The following is a 17,387-nucleotide window of genomic DNA, read 5'->3' on the forward strand; positions in this document are numbered from 1 at the left end:
TTCTCAACCTCAATACTACTGAGATTTGGGGTTGGACAATTCTTTGTTGCAAGGGGCTGTCTTGTACGTTGTAAGACTCTGGGGCAGCATTCCCAGCCTCTACCCACTAGATACCAGTAGCACGCTCCCTCTGTACCTGCCTTCTAGTTGTTATAACCAAAAGTGTGTCCAGACATTGCTATATATGGCCCCTAGAAGACAAAATTGCCCCCTGTTGAGAATCACTTATCTAAAGAACAAGGCTGTCCCTTTCAGACTTTATATGTTAGAAACTCAAAGCTGGAAAAATAATTTAATGCCTATTTTGATAAGCTTTCACTCTATGAAGAGGATATCACAATTTAAAAACTTGAGGTCTTCATAAACATTCTATTTACTCCCTCCAAAAGGTGACAATAACAAAAGAAACCCATTAATTTTTAAGTGAACTTGGATACTGAGTATTACTAGGAAAAACACAGAACACCAGTTATTTGTACATCTTTCAAAAACAGTGTTCTCCTTGGAATATTATGTAACTAGGGTTAGGAATGCTTTCACATTTTCTTATAATACATTCACAAGAAGAATGGGAAAAGTGTCATTTAAAGCTGAATTTCTTTTTTTGCCTTCTTCACAGGAAACATTTCTTTGATTGTCTTTGGCATCCTGAAATCTCTGGCCCAATAGAGTTTTTATTTTCTTTGTTGATTAAATGATAGTGTGCATGCCTGTTTCTTGGAAATGCCTAATAATTTGAGGTATGCAGACCTAATTTTCTGGAAGCATTACAAAACCTAGTCTTGTGGGATCACACACTGTGCTCATAAATCAGTCTGTATTTGGGTTCTATATTTGTGTGTGTGTGTTTGTCTTTTTGCCTGTAGGATGTCCCTCACTACATTTCTTGTGTCTGTAGTAGGCTTATTTGTGTACTGCAGGTGGGATGGTAAGTATGTGAAGAAAAGGGCTCTGGTGAGTGGCCTTTGGAGACAATTACGTTTTATTTCATTTTTTAAAAAATGTATTGAATATCGGGTTTTTCACTGCAAGGCCTTCTTAAAAAGTGAAACTAATTAGATTGAGTGTTAATGCCAAGAGTGTAGCTGTAAATATTAACCCTACAGCTACCATACATTAGTGGGCACACAAGTATTTTGATCTTTTTAAACCCATCATCTTATCTTACAGATGTACCATTATATTTGCTTTGTTCCTTGCATAGTGTCTTTCCTTTTCCTTCTATTTGTTTTCAATATGAATTATATTAGTTTATTATCTTAGCCAAGGTTTTATTTTGGCATATTGTATAAAGAAATTCATTTTACACAGTAAATCAATAAATAGATCCTTGACCTTATTCCAGTTTCATATAAAGGCCTTGCAGTGGAAGATCTTTTATGAGATATTTGATGGAACAGACTGACTGAGAAGATTTCCTTCCTCTTTTCTCCCCCTTTCCTTTTTTCTCCCCATTCCAATTTCTTCTCTCTCACAGGTCAACCCCTCTGCTTCTCACCCCGGTGAGTAACGTCTGAAGCTTCTGCTCGCATTGAGTCTGAATCGTTCTTTTAATTTAAGGTACCCCAGAGTTCATGGCCCCTGAGATGTATGAGGAGAAATATGATGAATCCGTTGACGTTTATGCTTTTGGGATGTGCATGCTTGAGATGGCTACATCTGAATATCCTTACTCGGAGTGCCAAAATGCTGCACAGATCTACCGTCGCGTGACCAGTGTAAGTCTTCCCCTAACTGATTGTTGAACTTGGGGCATATCTAACAAAGAATCCCAAGGTGGATGACATCAAACCATGTAAAAGAGGACAATAGTGGAAGGCATACTGAGTGAACTGTTGGGGTTGGGGGGGTGGTGTTGAGGTATGTGTAAGGCTATTGCTCATGATACAGTGAAAGATAAAGATCAAAGAACCACTAGTTTATCCTGTACCCACCTTGCATTCATTTAAATCTTTATTATGTTTAAAAACACACCCTCATTACCTACTTTTTAACCCCCTATTAATTCAGCTAAACTCCTGTTGTCTCCCACCACATAGGTCAGAGTTAAAAGTAATGTTTTTAATTCAAGATGCTTTGTCAAATTAATTTGTTCACTGACTTTTCTCTGAATGACTTGAGTTGATTTATTAAATCTTATATATTAGTACCTACCATATTTAAGGCATAAATAAATACCTTATTGTAGTTTAAATTACTCATGGTAGTTCATGTCTGCTGACAGAGATATTTTCTACAGCTGTCTAATTGAAACCTGAAAGGTAGTTGTTATGATTCATTTTACTTTATCACTACATGCTTCATTATGCTACTCTAAAATACATTTTCTTACATAACCATATTATGCCTGAAAAAATTAACAATCATTTCTGCATCATCCAATACCCTGAACCTGTTCAGATATTCTCTCCATTGTTTCAAAAATGTCCGTTGACAGTGTTCAAAATAGGCTCCATCAAGGTCCACAAAATATATTTTATTGTTGTAGTTCTTAATCTAGAACTATTGCTTTTACTTTCTTTTTCTGCATGCATGTCAGAGATTTATTGAGAAAATTAGATTATTTCGAGGAATGTTCCACATTCTGAATTTTCCTCGTGGTGTCATTTAACTAGTTTATTCTTCTATATTTCTGTAAGGAGAAGTTTACCTTAAAATGGTTGGGGTAGGTTAACAATGTAAAAATAATTTTGTCTTTTTTACTCGCATTCACCCAAGAGTGTACGTTGTTGTTTTCCAGAGGCTATATGATACTGCACATATGATATTGCAGCAGAGTACATACAGAAGCATATAAAAGAATTCATTTGTAGGGCCGGGCGTGGTGGCTTATGCCTGTAATCTCAGCACTTTGGGAGGCCGAGGCAGGTGGATCCCTTGAGGTCAGGAGTATGAGACTAGACTGGCCAACATGGTGAAACCCCATCTCTACTAAAAATACAAAAATTAGCCAGGCGTGGTGGTGCACCCCTGTAATCCTAGCTACTTTGGAGGCTGAGGCCCGAGAATCTCTGGAACCCGGGAGATGGAGGTTGCAGTGAGCCAAGATTGTGCCACTGCACTCCAGCCTGGGTGACAGAGTAAGACTCTGTCTCAAAAAAAAAAAAAAATTCCTTTGTCTTCCATTAAACCATATATTTAAAAAGATTACAAAAATGTAAAACAATACCAGTCTTATCACTAAATTTTTCTTGTTTTGGAAAATACTGACTTTTTAATTTTAAATATATATTTGTAACATAATGAGTTATAATTTTTAATGAATTAACATTTTTAAACTTTCTCAGGTTTACCATCTGCCACGGTAAATATTAATAGATGTAACACACATAGACAAAATCCCTCTGAGGTCCCCAATAATGTTAATTTTAAGAGTATAAAGGGGTCCTGAGACAAAAGTTTGAGAACCACTGTTCAAAAGTCTTGATAAAATTTAGGCTAAACATTTTTTGCAAGGATACTTAATATGTGGTGCTGTATATGTTATATTGCACCGAGAAGCTCATAGTATCTCATTATTTCATTTTTAGTGATGTAATTTAATTGAATTTTGATATAGAAGATGTAATTATCAATTGCTTATTTAGATTTTGATAGCTGAACAGAATGGAAATGTTTATTTTTAATTTTTTATTTATTTATTTATTTTTTGAGACGGCGTCTCGCTCTGTCGCCCAGGCTGGAGTGCAGTGGCGCCATCTCGGCTCACTGCAAGCTCTGCCTCCTGGGTTCACGCTATTCTCCTGCCTCAGCCTCCCAAGTAGCTGGGACTACAGGTGCCCGCCACCACACCTGGCTAATTTTTTGTATTTTTAGTAGAGATGGGGTTTCACTGTGTTAGCCAGGATGGTCTCGATCTCCTGACCTTGTGATCTGCCCACCTCTGCCTCCCAAAGTGCTGGAATTACAGGCATGAGCCAGAAATGTTTATTATTAAAAACTGATAGGAAACATTTTGCTTTAGGTAGACCAAATTTTACCTCTTCATAAAGGCTTGGGAGAAATCTTTGGAGTCAAAGATTAATTATAATTATTTATTGCTGTGAATATTCCTTCAATATCCTTGTTGTATATTTGTATGTGATTCTGTTGTTGATGGATATGGAGCTACTTTGGACAATTAGTTTAATTTCATATGAAGTTTGAGGTTTCATACCCAGTAAAAATGACAGCTATTGTTTATGGAGAAAGTGTGTAACTCTCAAGTTACTTCTGGCTTTGTAATTGGGATGGTATTTTGTCAGTTATTATTATTAGGTGTATGTCTACAAGTGTCTGGCCTGAGGCCTTACTGTTAAATTTATTAACCTCTTCTTAATACTCACCCAGATTCTAATACACAATATAATTGTAATCCCTGAAGCACTGACTCTCAATTTGGGCTGAATGGGGGCAGGAGAAATTTTTTTATGCCTTCAGATGATTCTGATAAGTACCCTAATCATTATTCTACATTTATGCCCTTAGAAAGCTCATCTGCTTTGCCTTTCAGAGTTCTGTATCATCATTCCCAGTTCATGTCTCTTATTATTCCCCTTTCTTCCCCTGATGCGTTGTAATTTACATTCTCTCTTTTTTTTTTTCCTTTGAGCATAGGGTCGACTGTTTATTGGGTAATTTCCTCCTTTATTTTGTTTAAAATTGTAGAAAACTTAAGAGGTATATTTGATTTCTTGTTTTTTACTCGCTGCTTCCACTACTTCCAGTTTATAAGGTTCTTGCTTCAGAATACCTCTTAGATGCAAGCCTTCTTCATTCCCATTGCCACAACTCTGATTTCACATCTTCCTTACTGCACACCTTGCATTATATTCCAGAAGTAATTTACATTGTGAATTTATTTTTTTATTTCACTTAAACTTGTTGAGCTTTCTTGCTATCCTTTCTTGGTATAAGGAACTTAAGATACCAGTTTGCTGATATCAGAGCAAGTACAAATTCTTAATCTTTGCTATTCTTCATCTTCATCCAAGCACTCTATTTTAGTTAAATCAGTTCTCTTCATTATCTCGCACATATGCCACATCCTTTCCTGTATTCCTATCCATTTGTAAATGTTATATAATACTGTACCTCCACTATAAGCTTTTCTGCTATCCAGTCAATCCATATACTTAACGGTCTTCCTCCATGACATTTTATCTGATTGGTTTCACTGTATAATGATCTTTGCCTTTTCTGAGCTGATTCTTCTCAATTGATATGAATGATAAAATTTTGTTTATTAGTGGTTATTCTACTTATAAATTCATAAATTCAATTAATGTACTTGCTTATTATTTTTATTGCTTTATATTCCTTAAAATATTTTAATCTAGTACATCTGTATAATTTCATCCTTATCTGTAGCACTATCCTAAATACAAAATAAATCTCAGTGCCAGTAAATGCAACATTTTCTGAATCCCTGCTATGTCCCATGCCCAGAGCTTGATACTAAGTAAAGGTGAATAATCATATTCCCTGTCTTCAGAAAACTACCTCTAATATAGAAGATTAATATGTAAACAAAGAATTATAATTACATTATGGTGAGTATTGTAATGGAGACAAGCACTAAGGAGAGTGGAGGAACAATGGATAACCCTGCTATGGATTAGGGAAGATTTCACAAAAAGAGCTGTTGTATGAACTGTCAAAAAGAGAAGGTAGAAGAATGGTGAGAGGCCATTCTAAGAAGCAGGAATAGGATTTACATGAATGCTGAGATGCCAAACACCGTAGTACAATGGAAGGAAAGGCAAATTGATCAAATAGAGTGAAGCTGTTGTCTTGGACAAATCAATTTTTGATCCAAGGACAAATCAATTGCTACTTAGTTTCTCCTGCTCCCAAATCCTGTCTCATCTCAGAGCAGAGAGTTTCCGGTTGGTAATTAAGAGGCAAACTTCTGACTGCTGATATGTGTTTTTACTGCTATTATATTGTTGTATTTTAATGGTGAAAGAGACTTTATCTGTTTATAGGCTTTTGGAAGGAGCAAGAGGAAGAGAGAGAGAAGTAGAAATCATGGTGGGTGGTGGTGGATAGGGTAGAGTAATATCCAGGATTCAATGGGCTTGTGACATGGTATAATGGTAAGTCTTGATAGGGAAGGTTTTCTCCTGAGGTAAGGGAAGCAAGATGGGTTTTGGAAGCAAAGTCTTGGGTTCACATCCTTGCCCTAGTTATTGCCATACGATCTTGAGCAATTCACTTAATTTCTCTGTACTTCAATTATTTTGTTCTCTGTAAAAGAGATACTATTACCCTCTTACAGATTGCTTAGCACAGTAGATAGTACTGGTACTGATAGTAGGCTGTGGTTATTGTCTATGAAATATGAGTTGTCATCTTCTTGGGGGGGTGTGTAGAATGAAAGATGGCCTTTAAGGATGATAAAGGCTTAAAATAACATCTATGAAACTTTGAACTGATTAGGAAATAATAATTGTGAAGCAGCACCAGGCATCCAGAATCTTCCTTTTTAGTATTGATAAACACTATTATGTAAACAATGAATATATTGTTTGTACGCGTGTCTATGTGTATGCAAGTGGAAAAGGGCAAATTTTTACCTATTACATACTTCTTTCTTGTGAATAACCAATAATAGGCTGGGCCTGTAGGCTCACGCCTGTAATCCCAGCACTTTGGGAAGCCGAGGTAGGCAGATTGCTTGAGCTCAGGAGTTCAAGACTAGCCTGGGCAACATGATGAAACATTATCTCTACAAAAAATACAAAAATTAGTTGGCCGTGGTGGTGCATAGTTGGCTGTGGTGATGCATGCCTGTAGTCCCAGCCACTGGGAGGCTGAGGTAGAAGGATCGCCTGAGCCGGGGAGGTGGAGGTTGCAGTGAGCCTAGATTGTGCCATTGCACTCGAGCCTGGACAATAGAGTGAAAGCCTGTCTTAAAAAAACAACAAAAAAACCCACAATAGCTTAGATTGCTAAAGTAGTCCTCAGTTTTCTATATTCTGAATTCTGTGTATCAGGGTTTGAAGAATAGAATAGAAGTTATTGACATAAATGAGTTAGGTTTCATAGGAGAAAAGTTAATTTTACTTGGTGTATTTTCTACTGAATAAGTTTCATCTGTGTATTTGTGAATATTTATTAATTATAAACTGTGACCAAGCACTATACTAGGTATTGGGGATATACCAAGTCAAAAAGTTGTGCCTCACCTGGAGTTTACATTCAGTTTTGTTAAAAAAAAAAAAATGTTGATAGAAGTCAGTAAGTTGGCTGGGCGTGATAGCTCACGCCTGTAATCCCAGAACTTTGGGAGGCCAAGACTGGGGGATCACTTGAGGTCAGGAGTTTGAGACCAGCCTGGCCAACATGGTGAAACCCCAGTCTCTACTAAAAATACAAAAATTAGCTGGGCATGATGGCATGTGCCTGTAGTTGCAGCTACTTGGGAGGCTGAGGTAGGAGAATCACTTGAACCCAGGAGACAGAAATTGCAGTGAGCTGAGATAGCGCCATTGCACTCCAGCCTGGGTGACAGCAAGACTTGGTCTAAAAAAAAAAAAAAATTGATAACTCTATTAGAGTGATAAGGTTTGTGTCTAGAATAGATGGGAGATAAAGGGTGAGAAGCTGAACTAGGTTTATTGTTACAGCACAGCAAATTCAATCATTTCTTTTTGCCCGAAATGTATGACTAGGTACTAATACAATCTGACTTTTTTATTAAAACATGTAATGAAGTAATTAGGGAGGAAATATAAGCCAGTAGATTCAAAACTGAGGGGAAAAATAACAAAAGTTGTAGTGGATCAAAGTAGATTTGTAGATCAACATGCTATATGAGTGATACTGCTAAACAGTAACAGGTGTTTCTGTTATGTGACTCCTGAGCCTTAATTTCCTCATATGATTATGGTAGTCATAACTGCCAGGCCTACTAAGGTTGCGAAAAACAAATCTGTTGAAATTATATAAGAAAGTACATTTGAAAAAGTTGAGAAATATATTTGTTGTATTTGACATATAACTAGATTGACTCTGAAATGTCTTCTATCTCAATAGATTCTTGATGTTTCAGAAGGGTTTGACTTAGGCTTTCTGCTACAAAAGATTGGGAGGATAGTAGCACTAACTGGCTTTCTTAAGTGTAATGAGGCTCATATTTGCACAGAAGTTACAAAATCTGTGATTGTGATATATTCAAGGAATTTTATTTTTAAAAATGCCTCCAACTTTTCAATAAAAAAGTAAATAGATGGCAAATTATTCTGTGTAGAGATGAATATCTAGATATTAAAACTTAAAAGTATGATTCTGATTACATAATCAAGTCATAGGCTTTCAGTAGTCCTTAAAGTCTGCTTTCTATCCTTCAGTGAATTTTTGAAGTTTGTTTATAGAATATTTTGTGCTTATCATATTAAATATTAGAAGACCTTTGGGGACTTGATTGATTCTCTGCATGGCATAACGTGCCAAGTCAGAGTATTAATCAGAAATATTTTTTTTTTGTATGTGCATACTAAAAATGTACATTTAGGTTTTTTTCTATCAGTGTTACTGAATATATTATATACCTACCCATCTAAAGTGTATAATTCACTGGTTTTAGCATCTTCACAGTGTTAAAAGAAAAACTTCAGCCAAATTAAATTTAAAGGCGTTTAATTGAGCAATGAACGATTCGTGAATTGAGCAGTCCCCAGAATCACAGCAGATTCAGAGAGACTCCAGGGATGCCTCATGGTCAGAACAGATTTATAGATAAGAAAAAGGGATGTGACATACAGAAACCAGATGTGAGGTACAGAAACAACTGGATTGGTTACAGCTTGCTGTTTGCCTTATTTGAACACTCAGCAATGTATGAGTGGTTGAAATACAGCCGTGAGGGCTGGGCGCAGTGGCTCACGCCTGTAATTCCAGCACTTTGGGAGGCTGAGGCAGGCAGATTACCTGAGGCCAGGAGTTTGAGACCAGCCTGGCCGACATGGTGAAACCCCGTCTCTACTAAAAATACAAAAATTAGCCATGCGCGGTGGCGGGCGCCTGTAATCCCAGCTACTAGGGAGGCTGAGGCAGGAGAGTCACTTGAACCCGGGAGGCAGAGGTTGCAGTGAGCCGAGATCACGCCATTGCACTCCTGCCTGGGTGACAGAGTGAGACCCTGTCTAAAAAAAAAAAAAAAAAAAAGAAAAGAAAAGAAAAAAGATAGAAATTTGGCTGTTGGGATTGGCCAAGACTCAGCAGTTGTTACGGGCATACTCCTAAGTTAGGTTTTCAGTCTTGTCTACCTGTTAAGTTAGGTTGCAATTAGTCCACACAGACTCAAATTAGAAGTACAAAGTCCTTCTCGGGCCATATTTAGTTTGCTTTAACAACAGGTATGTGCAGCCATCACCACAGTCAACTTTAGAATAATTTTATCACATGATAAAGATATTCTGCACCCTGTAGCAATCACTTTTCTATACAAACATTCCCCCCACTCCTGTGCAACCCCTAATCTGTTTATGTCACTATAGGTTTTTCTATTCTGGACATTTCATCTAAATAGAGTCATTTAATATGTGGTCTTTTATTACTAGCTTCTTTCACTTTGTATAGTGTTCTCAAGGTTCGTCCATGTTGTAGCAAATGTTCATGCTTCATTCCTCTTTAAGTCTGAGTAATATTCCAGTGTGTGTGTGTGTGTGTGTGTGTGTGTGTGTATGTATAAACACAATTGTTTAGCCATTTATCGATTGGTAGACATTTGGACTGTTCCTACCATTGGCTGTTGTGAATAGAGCTGCTACGAAGAATATTCATGTACAAGTTTTTGTTTGAATATCTGTTTTTACTTCCTTTAGATATATACCTAGAAGTGAAATTACCATGTGTATATGCTAATCCTATGTTTAACCATTTGAAGAACTGCCAGCCTATTTTCCAATAGCTGTACCATATTACATTCCCACCATCAGTGTAAGAGAATTGTGATCTCTTCATATTCTTGCCAATCCTTGTTGTTATTATTATTATTATTATTTTGAGACAGAATCTCACTCTGTCACCCAGACTGGAGTGCAGTGGCACAATCTCGGCTCACTGCAGTTTCCATCTCCTGGGCTCAAGTGATTCTCCCGCCTCAGCCTCCTGAGTATCTGGGACCATGGACACACACCACCATGCTGGCTAATTTTTTTGTATTTTTTGTAGAGACGAGGTTTTGTCATGTTGCCCAGGCTGGTCTAGAACTCCTCAGATCAAGCGGTCTGCCTGCTTTGGCCTTCCAAAGTGCTGGGATTACAGGTGTGAGCCACTGTGCCAGCCTGTGTCTTCTGTTCTTAAAAGGACAGCAGTCATTGGGTTAAGGACCCACACTGCTCCTGGATGACTTCATCTTAACTAATTACTTAACTAATTTTTTTTCCAAAAAAATTCATATTGTAAGGTACTAGAGATTGGAACCACAACATATCTTTTTGAGGGACACAGTTCAACCCCATAACAATTCATGGGTTCATTCAGCAAATATTCAAGTCTCTTCTATGTTCCAGACTGTTTTCTAGATCCTAGATATTGAATATTATTGTTATGTCAAACACAGTCCCTGTCTCTAAAGAACTTACCAAGGGAAGGGGAACAAACAAATAAAGCAAACAGTTACAATACAATAGAAAACACTTATTTTAGGGATAGGTACTTAATGAAAGCATGTAAGAGTGGTACCTAATCAAGTTTGGACAGGTTAGGGATATGGTGTTAAAGAATTAGGGAAAGACTAAGATAGTGTTATATATGAAGATGCATGATTTTGAGTATCTTGTCAAGTTTGGAAGTAGGAAAAGGACAAGGCAAGGGATAAGGGACAAAAGGAAAGCTTAGACTTTAATGTAGAGCACTGAGGGGACTGTTTTAAAAGTGGGTAGCTATCATGTATGTCAACACCTACAGACTTAAATTTTAGAAAGATTATTTCTGACTGCAGAGTGGAGAATGGATTTCTGAGGAAAGACTAAATGTTGAAAACTCAGTTAAAAAGGTATTGAAGTAATCTAAGGGAAATGACTAATAGTCTGAAATAAGGAGTTGTAAGAGAGAAGGCCAAAGTGGATGGATTAGAGAGATTTTGTTTGTGAATTAGATTTGAGCTAACCTCATTTGTTTTTTTCCACTTAACATTTATGAAAATAAATGCTCATGTACATATATATACTTAAGATCAAACAATATCAAACCTGATTGTGAGGTTAAATATATAACTTTAGATTTGGGGACTATAAAATTTATAATTTGTATATGAAATGTTTTATATATTTTATTTACTAACTTACCAATCATTACTTTTTTTGAGACAGAGTCTTACTCTGTCTTTCAGGCAGGAGTGCATGGTTCAGTCTTGTCTCACTGCAACCTCCGCCTCCCAGGTTCAAGTGATTTTCCTGCCTCAAGCTTCCTGAGTAGCTGGGATTGCAGGCTCCCACCACCATGCCTGGCTAATTTTTTTTTTTTTTTTTTTTTTAAGTAGAGATGGAGTTTCACCATGTTGGCCATGCTGCTCTCGAACTCCTGACCTCAAGTGATCCGCCCACCTCGGCCCCCAAAGTGCTGGGATTACAGGTGTGAGCCACCACACCTGGCCCATTCTGTCGTATTCTAAATGGAGTAGCAAACTATGCTTCTTGGCCAAATTCAGCCTGGTGCCCATTTTTGTACAGCCCATGACATAAGTATGGTTTTTGGTTTTGTTTTTAATTTTTTGAGAGAAAGTCTCACTCTGTCACCGAGGCTTGAGTGCAGTGGTACAATCATAGCTCTCTGTAGCCTTGAACTTCTGGGCTCAAGTGATCCTCTTGCCTCAGCCTTCTGAATCGCTAGGACTACAGACATGTGCCACCATGTCCAGCTTTTTTTTTTTTTTTTTTTTTGTAGAGGTGGGGTCTCACTATGTTGCCCATGCTGGTCTCAAACTCCTGGCCTCAAGTGATCCTCCTACTTTAGCCTCCCAAAATGCTGGGATTACATTTACGAGTACCATGACTGGCTGGTTTTTATATTTTTTAATGTTTGGGGAAAATGTCAAAAGAAGAGTATTTTGTATGATACGAAAACTACATGAAATTCAAATTTCAGTGTCCATAAATAAGTTTTTCTGGCATACAGCCACACTCACTTGCTTCCATATTATTTATGGCTGTTTTCACACTATAATGGCAGAGTTGAATAATTGCAACAGACTGTATGATACATACAGCCTACAATATTTACTATTAGGCCCTTAACAGGAAAATTTACTTACTCCTGTGTTAAACATATGTCACCAGAACTTTGTAAAACATGTTCCCCTGTAGAGTCCTGTAAGAAATTACTGATCTACGAAAGTAGTGGTGATGTTCTTCTATAAGAATGCGTTAGCCTCTGTATTTGTAAAGACATGAGAATCTTGGTGCAAACAAGTAGCTACTTAACAGGTCAGAAAATGTGTAGGCAGTCTTTTCTCTCTGTTAAGAGTAGAACTAAAACTTTAACATTTTTATTTGCCAAATGCAAACTCAAAAGCTCAGTTGAGAAGAAAATCTTCTTAAATGAAAGATGTCTTTGATAGTAAGTTTAACAGAACCTGGAAAGACTGGTGTCACTGTTTCTGTATTCTCAGTATAGTGTTTAACCTGTTTTCAGTTGTTCAGCAGCTTTTGTTTTTTATTAAACTGAGACAAAAATCATATATCATAAAATTAACCATTTTAACCATTTTTAAGTATACTGTTCACTGGTTTTTAGTATATCCACAATGTTAATGCAGTTATCACTACTAATTCCAGAACCTTCCCATCATCCCCAAAATGAAGCCCCATACCAGTTAGCAGTCATTTCCCATTCTCCTCTCCAACCCATCCCCTAGCGACCACTAATCTGCTTTCTGTCTCTGGATTTGATTTTCCTATTCTAGGTATTTCATGTAAATGGAATTATACAATAAGTGGCATTTTGTGTCTGGCTTCTTTCACTTAGCAAAATGTTTGCAAGGTACATCCATGTGGTAGCATGTATCAGTACTTTTTAATAGTTAAATAATATTCTATTGCATATATATACTACATTTTGTTCTATTCAGCAGGTTTTATTTCCCTTTAGTTCTTTAGTTTCTTCCTCTTTTTCTCAATGTTAAACTGCTTGACTCTATAGCTGCCTCTTAATCTGGAGAGAGATTGAGAACAATGTTTTAGTCCATTTGGGCTGCTATATCAAAAATGCCATAAACTAGGTGGCATATAAACAACAACCATTTATTTCTCACAGTTCTGAAGGCTGGAAAGCCCAAGATCAGGTGCCATCAGATTTGGTATCTAGTGAGGTTCTGTTCCTCATAGACCGGACTTTCTCGTGTCATTTTCACATGGTGAAAGAGTCAAAAAGCTCCCTCCGGACTCATATTATAAGGGCAGTAATCCATTTCACGGTTCTGCCCTCATGACCTGATCTGCTCTCATGACCTGATCACCTCCCAAAGACCTTCACCTCTTAATACTGTCTCATTGGACGTTAGATTTCAACATAAAAATTTTAGGGGGACACAAACATTCAGACTATAGCATACATGAAGGAGGAAATATAGAGTGTCTTAAAAGGTATTGTCCTAGAGCTAGGTTTATTATATCGTTGTTTGTATTCATTGTGCACAGCACACCGTAGGCACTCATTAATATTTTGAAGAATAAATGATTCAAAGTAATGTCAAATATAGTCAAAATCAGACATTATGTATATTTGGGAGAGTTGTATTTACTCTGTGAAAGAGAAGTGAAATTTGAGGTGACCTTCAGAATTATCCTACTAAAATGAAGTTGAATAGCAGCAAGTAGAAACTGATGTACCTATAAAAGCAATATATTTTATATTAATGGCAAAAAACACAATTACTTTTGCATGAACCTAATAGAATAGGAAAAACTATTTGGTGCAAATAAAGCAGAAAACAATAATAGGTAGAAAGGCTATCCCAGGACTAGAAAGGCTCTTCTGTAGGTTCTCAAATCTCAGTTGTAATTTCTGAACAACTAGTTTAACTCTTTCCATTATGGGGCTAGGTCTGTATTTTATTTTATTTTATTTTTTTAGGTATTTCCCCTTAATTTTTACCCTATAATTACTACTCTCACTTTGTTCTTTCTTCCCTGAGACTTCATAGGGCAGACCAAATTGTAATTTCCCTTGGTGTAGTCCGTAAAATGTTTCAAGACAGTTTTTCTAATGTTAGGAGTCCTTTTTTGTCAAGACCCATCATTGTCAATTTGTAAAACTTGTTCCTTTGAATTTCTTGAGGGAAGGGGCTTATATGCATTATTGGAAGAGGGAGATGCTCAGCAACTGTTTTCTTGATCTTCAGGAGGTTACATAAGAAGGAAGAGAAACTGTAATTGAACATAAGAACTTGGCAACATTGTATAATATTGCAGAGGCCTTGGTGGTAAAGGTTTGAGATTCTGTCATCTGAGAATTTTTGAGAAGGGACCAAGACAGCTAACAGACTCAAGTGATTTTATTTATTTATTTATTTATTTATTTTTGGAGACGGAGTCTCTCGCTGTCGCCCAGGTTGGAATGTAGTGGCATGATCCCAGCTCACTGCAACCTCTGCCTCCTGGATTCAAGCAATTCTCCTGCCTCAGCCTCCCAGGTAGCTGGGATTACAGGCACCCGCCACCATGCCCAACTAATTTTTGTATTTTTAGTTAAAACGGGGGTTTTACCGTGTTAGTCAGGCTGTTCTGGAACTCCTGAGGTCAAGTGATCCACCCACCTTGGCCTCCCAAAGTGCTGGGATTACAGGTGTGAGCGACCACGCCTGGCCCAGGCTTGAGTGATTAGTTCAGCATGGTATCAGTAATCCTTTACACTCTTTAAAGTTATTGAGGACCCCAAAGAGCTTTTATTTACTTGTGTTCTATCTACTTTACCGTATTATAAATTAAAATAGAATTTGCAAAAGCATTTAAAAATGATAAATAACATAAGCCCTGTATATGTTGGTATCAATAACATTTTTATGACAAATAACTATTTTCCAAAACAAAATTTAAAAACTTACTGAGAAGAGGGGCATTTCCACATTTTTGCAAATCTAATGTCTAGTCTAAAAGAAGATTGCTAAATTCTCATATCTGCTTTTCTGTTCAGTCTGTTACAATATGCTGTTTGGGTTGAAGTATATGAAGAAAATCTGGCCTCATGCAGATATGTAGTTGCAAAAGGAAATACTTTATAGACCACAAGAAAGGATATTGAGGACCCTGAAGGGTCTTTATACCACACCTTTGAGAACCACAGTTTTAGCAAACCAACCATGCAAAGTGCAGTCCTCAGACCAACAGAATCAGCATCTCAGGGTGCTTGTATTTAGTGTAAAATTTTGGCCCCATTCCAGGCCTGTTAAAATCTGCATTTTACATAGTCCAAGGGTGATTCATATGTACATTAAAGTTTGAGAAGTATGAGCTGGGTCAGTAATCCCTTAAGGTCTTTTTCAGTTCCATGTACCTTTATTTGGTTAATTAAATAAAAAGTAGGCTATATAGTATAATACCAAAATGTTATTTAAATAAACTATTGTTCAGTCATTCATGTAAACTTTTAAGTAGCATTATAAGTAACCAATTTGACTTAAAAATTATATTATTATAGCATTTATATGCAATTTTGCATTTTTTCTGCCTTTTTGGTTGTTGCTTTTTAAAAATTTTCTTTATTTTATTTTATTTTTTTTTGAGACGGGGTCTTGCTCTGTCGCCCAGGCTGGAGTGCAGTGGTGCGATCTTGGCTCCCTGCAACCTACGCCTCCTGGGTTCAAGTGATTCTCCCGCTTCAACCTCCCAAGTAACTGGGAGGGACAATAGGCATGGGCCACCACAGCCGGCTAACATGTATTTTCTGGTAGAGATGGGGGTTTCACCATGTTGGCCAGGCTGGTCTCAAACTCCTGACCTCTAGCAATCCACCAGCCCCGGCCTCCCAAAGTTCTGGGATTACAGGCGTGAACGACCACGCCAGGCCTGGTTGTTGCTTTTTAAAAAGGAAAACCGGTAAATCAAGCTGTAGAAAATGTGGAATAAAAAACTTGAAGAGTAAGTCCATTGGAACTGTGCTAGAATCCTTAGTTTCTAAGGATGCCGCAGGTGGCATGCATTTGTGCTTTATTTTTCCTCTAAGCTATGAAAATTTAGTTGTGTATGCTCTACAGTCCTTAATTCTGCACTGTCCATTACCATACTTCTTGCCTAGGAAATACTGTCTAGATTTTACCAATCTCCATTCCCATCTTCTGGCTTCTAGTAAAGAATAAAAAGGGCTGTGGTCTTTGTTACTTTCCTAAAAGTTTTCTTATGTTTTGGGTGCTGAGATAAATGTGGAGGGTTTAAATAAGTTCTTAGATAATATAATTTATATAATTATATAAGCAATCATGATGATTCTGTGTTGAAATAGGCCTTGAAATATTGTACCTTCTCTTTTTTTTTTTTTTTTTTTTTTTGAGACGGAGTCTCGCTCTGTCACCCAGGCTGGAGTGCAGTGGCGGGATCTCGGCTCACTGCAAGCTCCGCCTCCCGGGTTCACGCCATTCTCCTGCCTCAGCCTCCCAAGTAGCTGGGACTACAGGCGCCCGCCACTACGCCCGGCTAATTTTTTGTATTTTTAGTAGAGACGGGGTTTCACCGTTTTAGCCGGGATGGTCTCGATCTCCTGACCTCGTGATCCGCCCGCCTCAGCCTCCCAAAGTGCTGGGATTACAGGCGTGAGCCACCGCGCCCGGCCTGTACCTTCTCTTAAGTCAGCTTGCAATTTAAATTTTTAGTTAGTAAATTTAACTAATTTTAAAATATGTTAGTGTCTGTCTGCTTAACTATTGCATACTTATTAAAGAAACATGCGTGGTTATCCATTGGAAGAGATCGATCCTAGGGCTTCCTGATACAAACACACCCACAGACCCCAGCCACTCTAGATTTCTGGTTTTCATCCCAGGTCTATTGTGTATACCCTGGCTATTAGTAACCAGTAAACCACTCTCCCCCTTCTGTAGATTTAGTACTAACTTAGAAAAAGGATACAAAGAAGAGTTTGTATTTAACAGCTCAGGATTGCCTTTTCAGGTGGAAGAAATAGGCTCTGGAGTTGGATCTGCTTCCTTTCAAATTCCGGCAATGTCATTGCCTAGCTGTGAGACCTTGAGCAAATTATTTACTTCTCTGAGCCTAAAGTATTTGTGAAGATTAAATGAGAAAGGCAAAGTGCCTGGCATACAGTTATCAATCAGTACCTAATAGGTATCACCATTATCATCAACATCATTATTATTAATACATATTTAGTAGTGAAATAAGGTGTCTCTTTTTATGTTAACCAGTGACATTCAGCAAATTGCATTAATTTAAATGTGCTTCCTAAGT

At 37.4% G+C, this 17,387-nt stretch overlaps 1 protein-coding gene across 50 annotated transcripts in view; it reads left to right on the forward strand.

The window, feature by feature from the left end:
* The window catches only part of WNK1 (WNK lysine deficient protein kinase 1), a 158,874-nt gene that overhangs the window by 75,864 nt on the left and 65,623 nt on the right, over window positions 1–17,387 (forward strand). For all 50 annotated transcript variants that reach the window (NM_213655.5, XM_011520997.4, XM_011521000.3 and 47 more), the window contains exon 4: window positions 1,561–1,718. In NM_213655.5, the coding sequence (NP_998820.3) occupies window positions 1,561–1,718 (158 nt within the window). The remainder of the gene's footprint in view (window positions 1–1,560; window positions 1,719–17,387) is intronic.

The sequence above is a fragment of the Homo sapiens genome, chromosome 12 (assembly GCF_000001405.40).
Source record: "Homo sapiens chromosome 12, GRCh38.p14 Primary Assembly".
Taxonomy (NCBI): domain Eukaryota; kingdom Metazoa; phylum Chordata; class Mammalia; order Primates; family Hominidae; genus Homo; species Homo sapiens.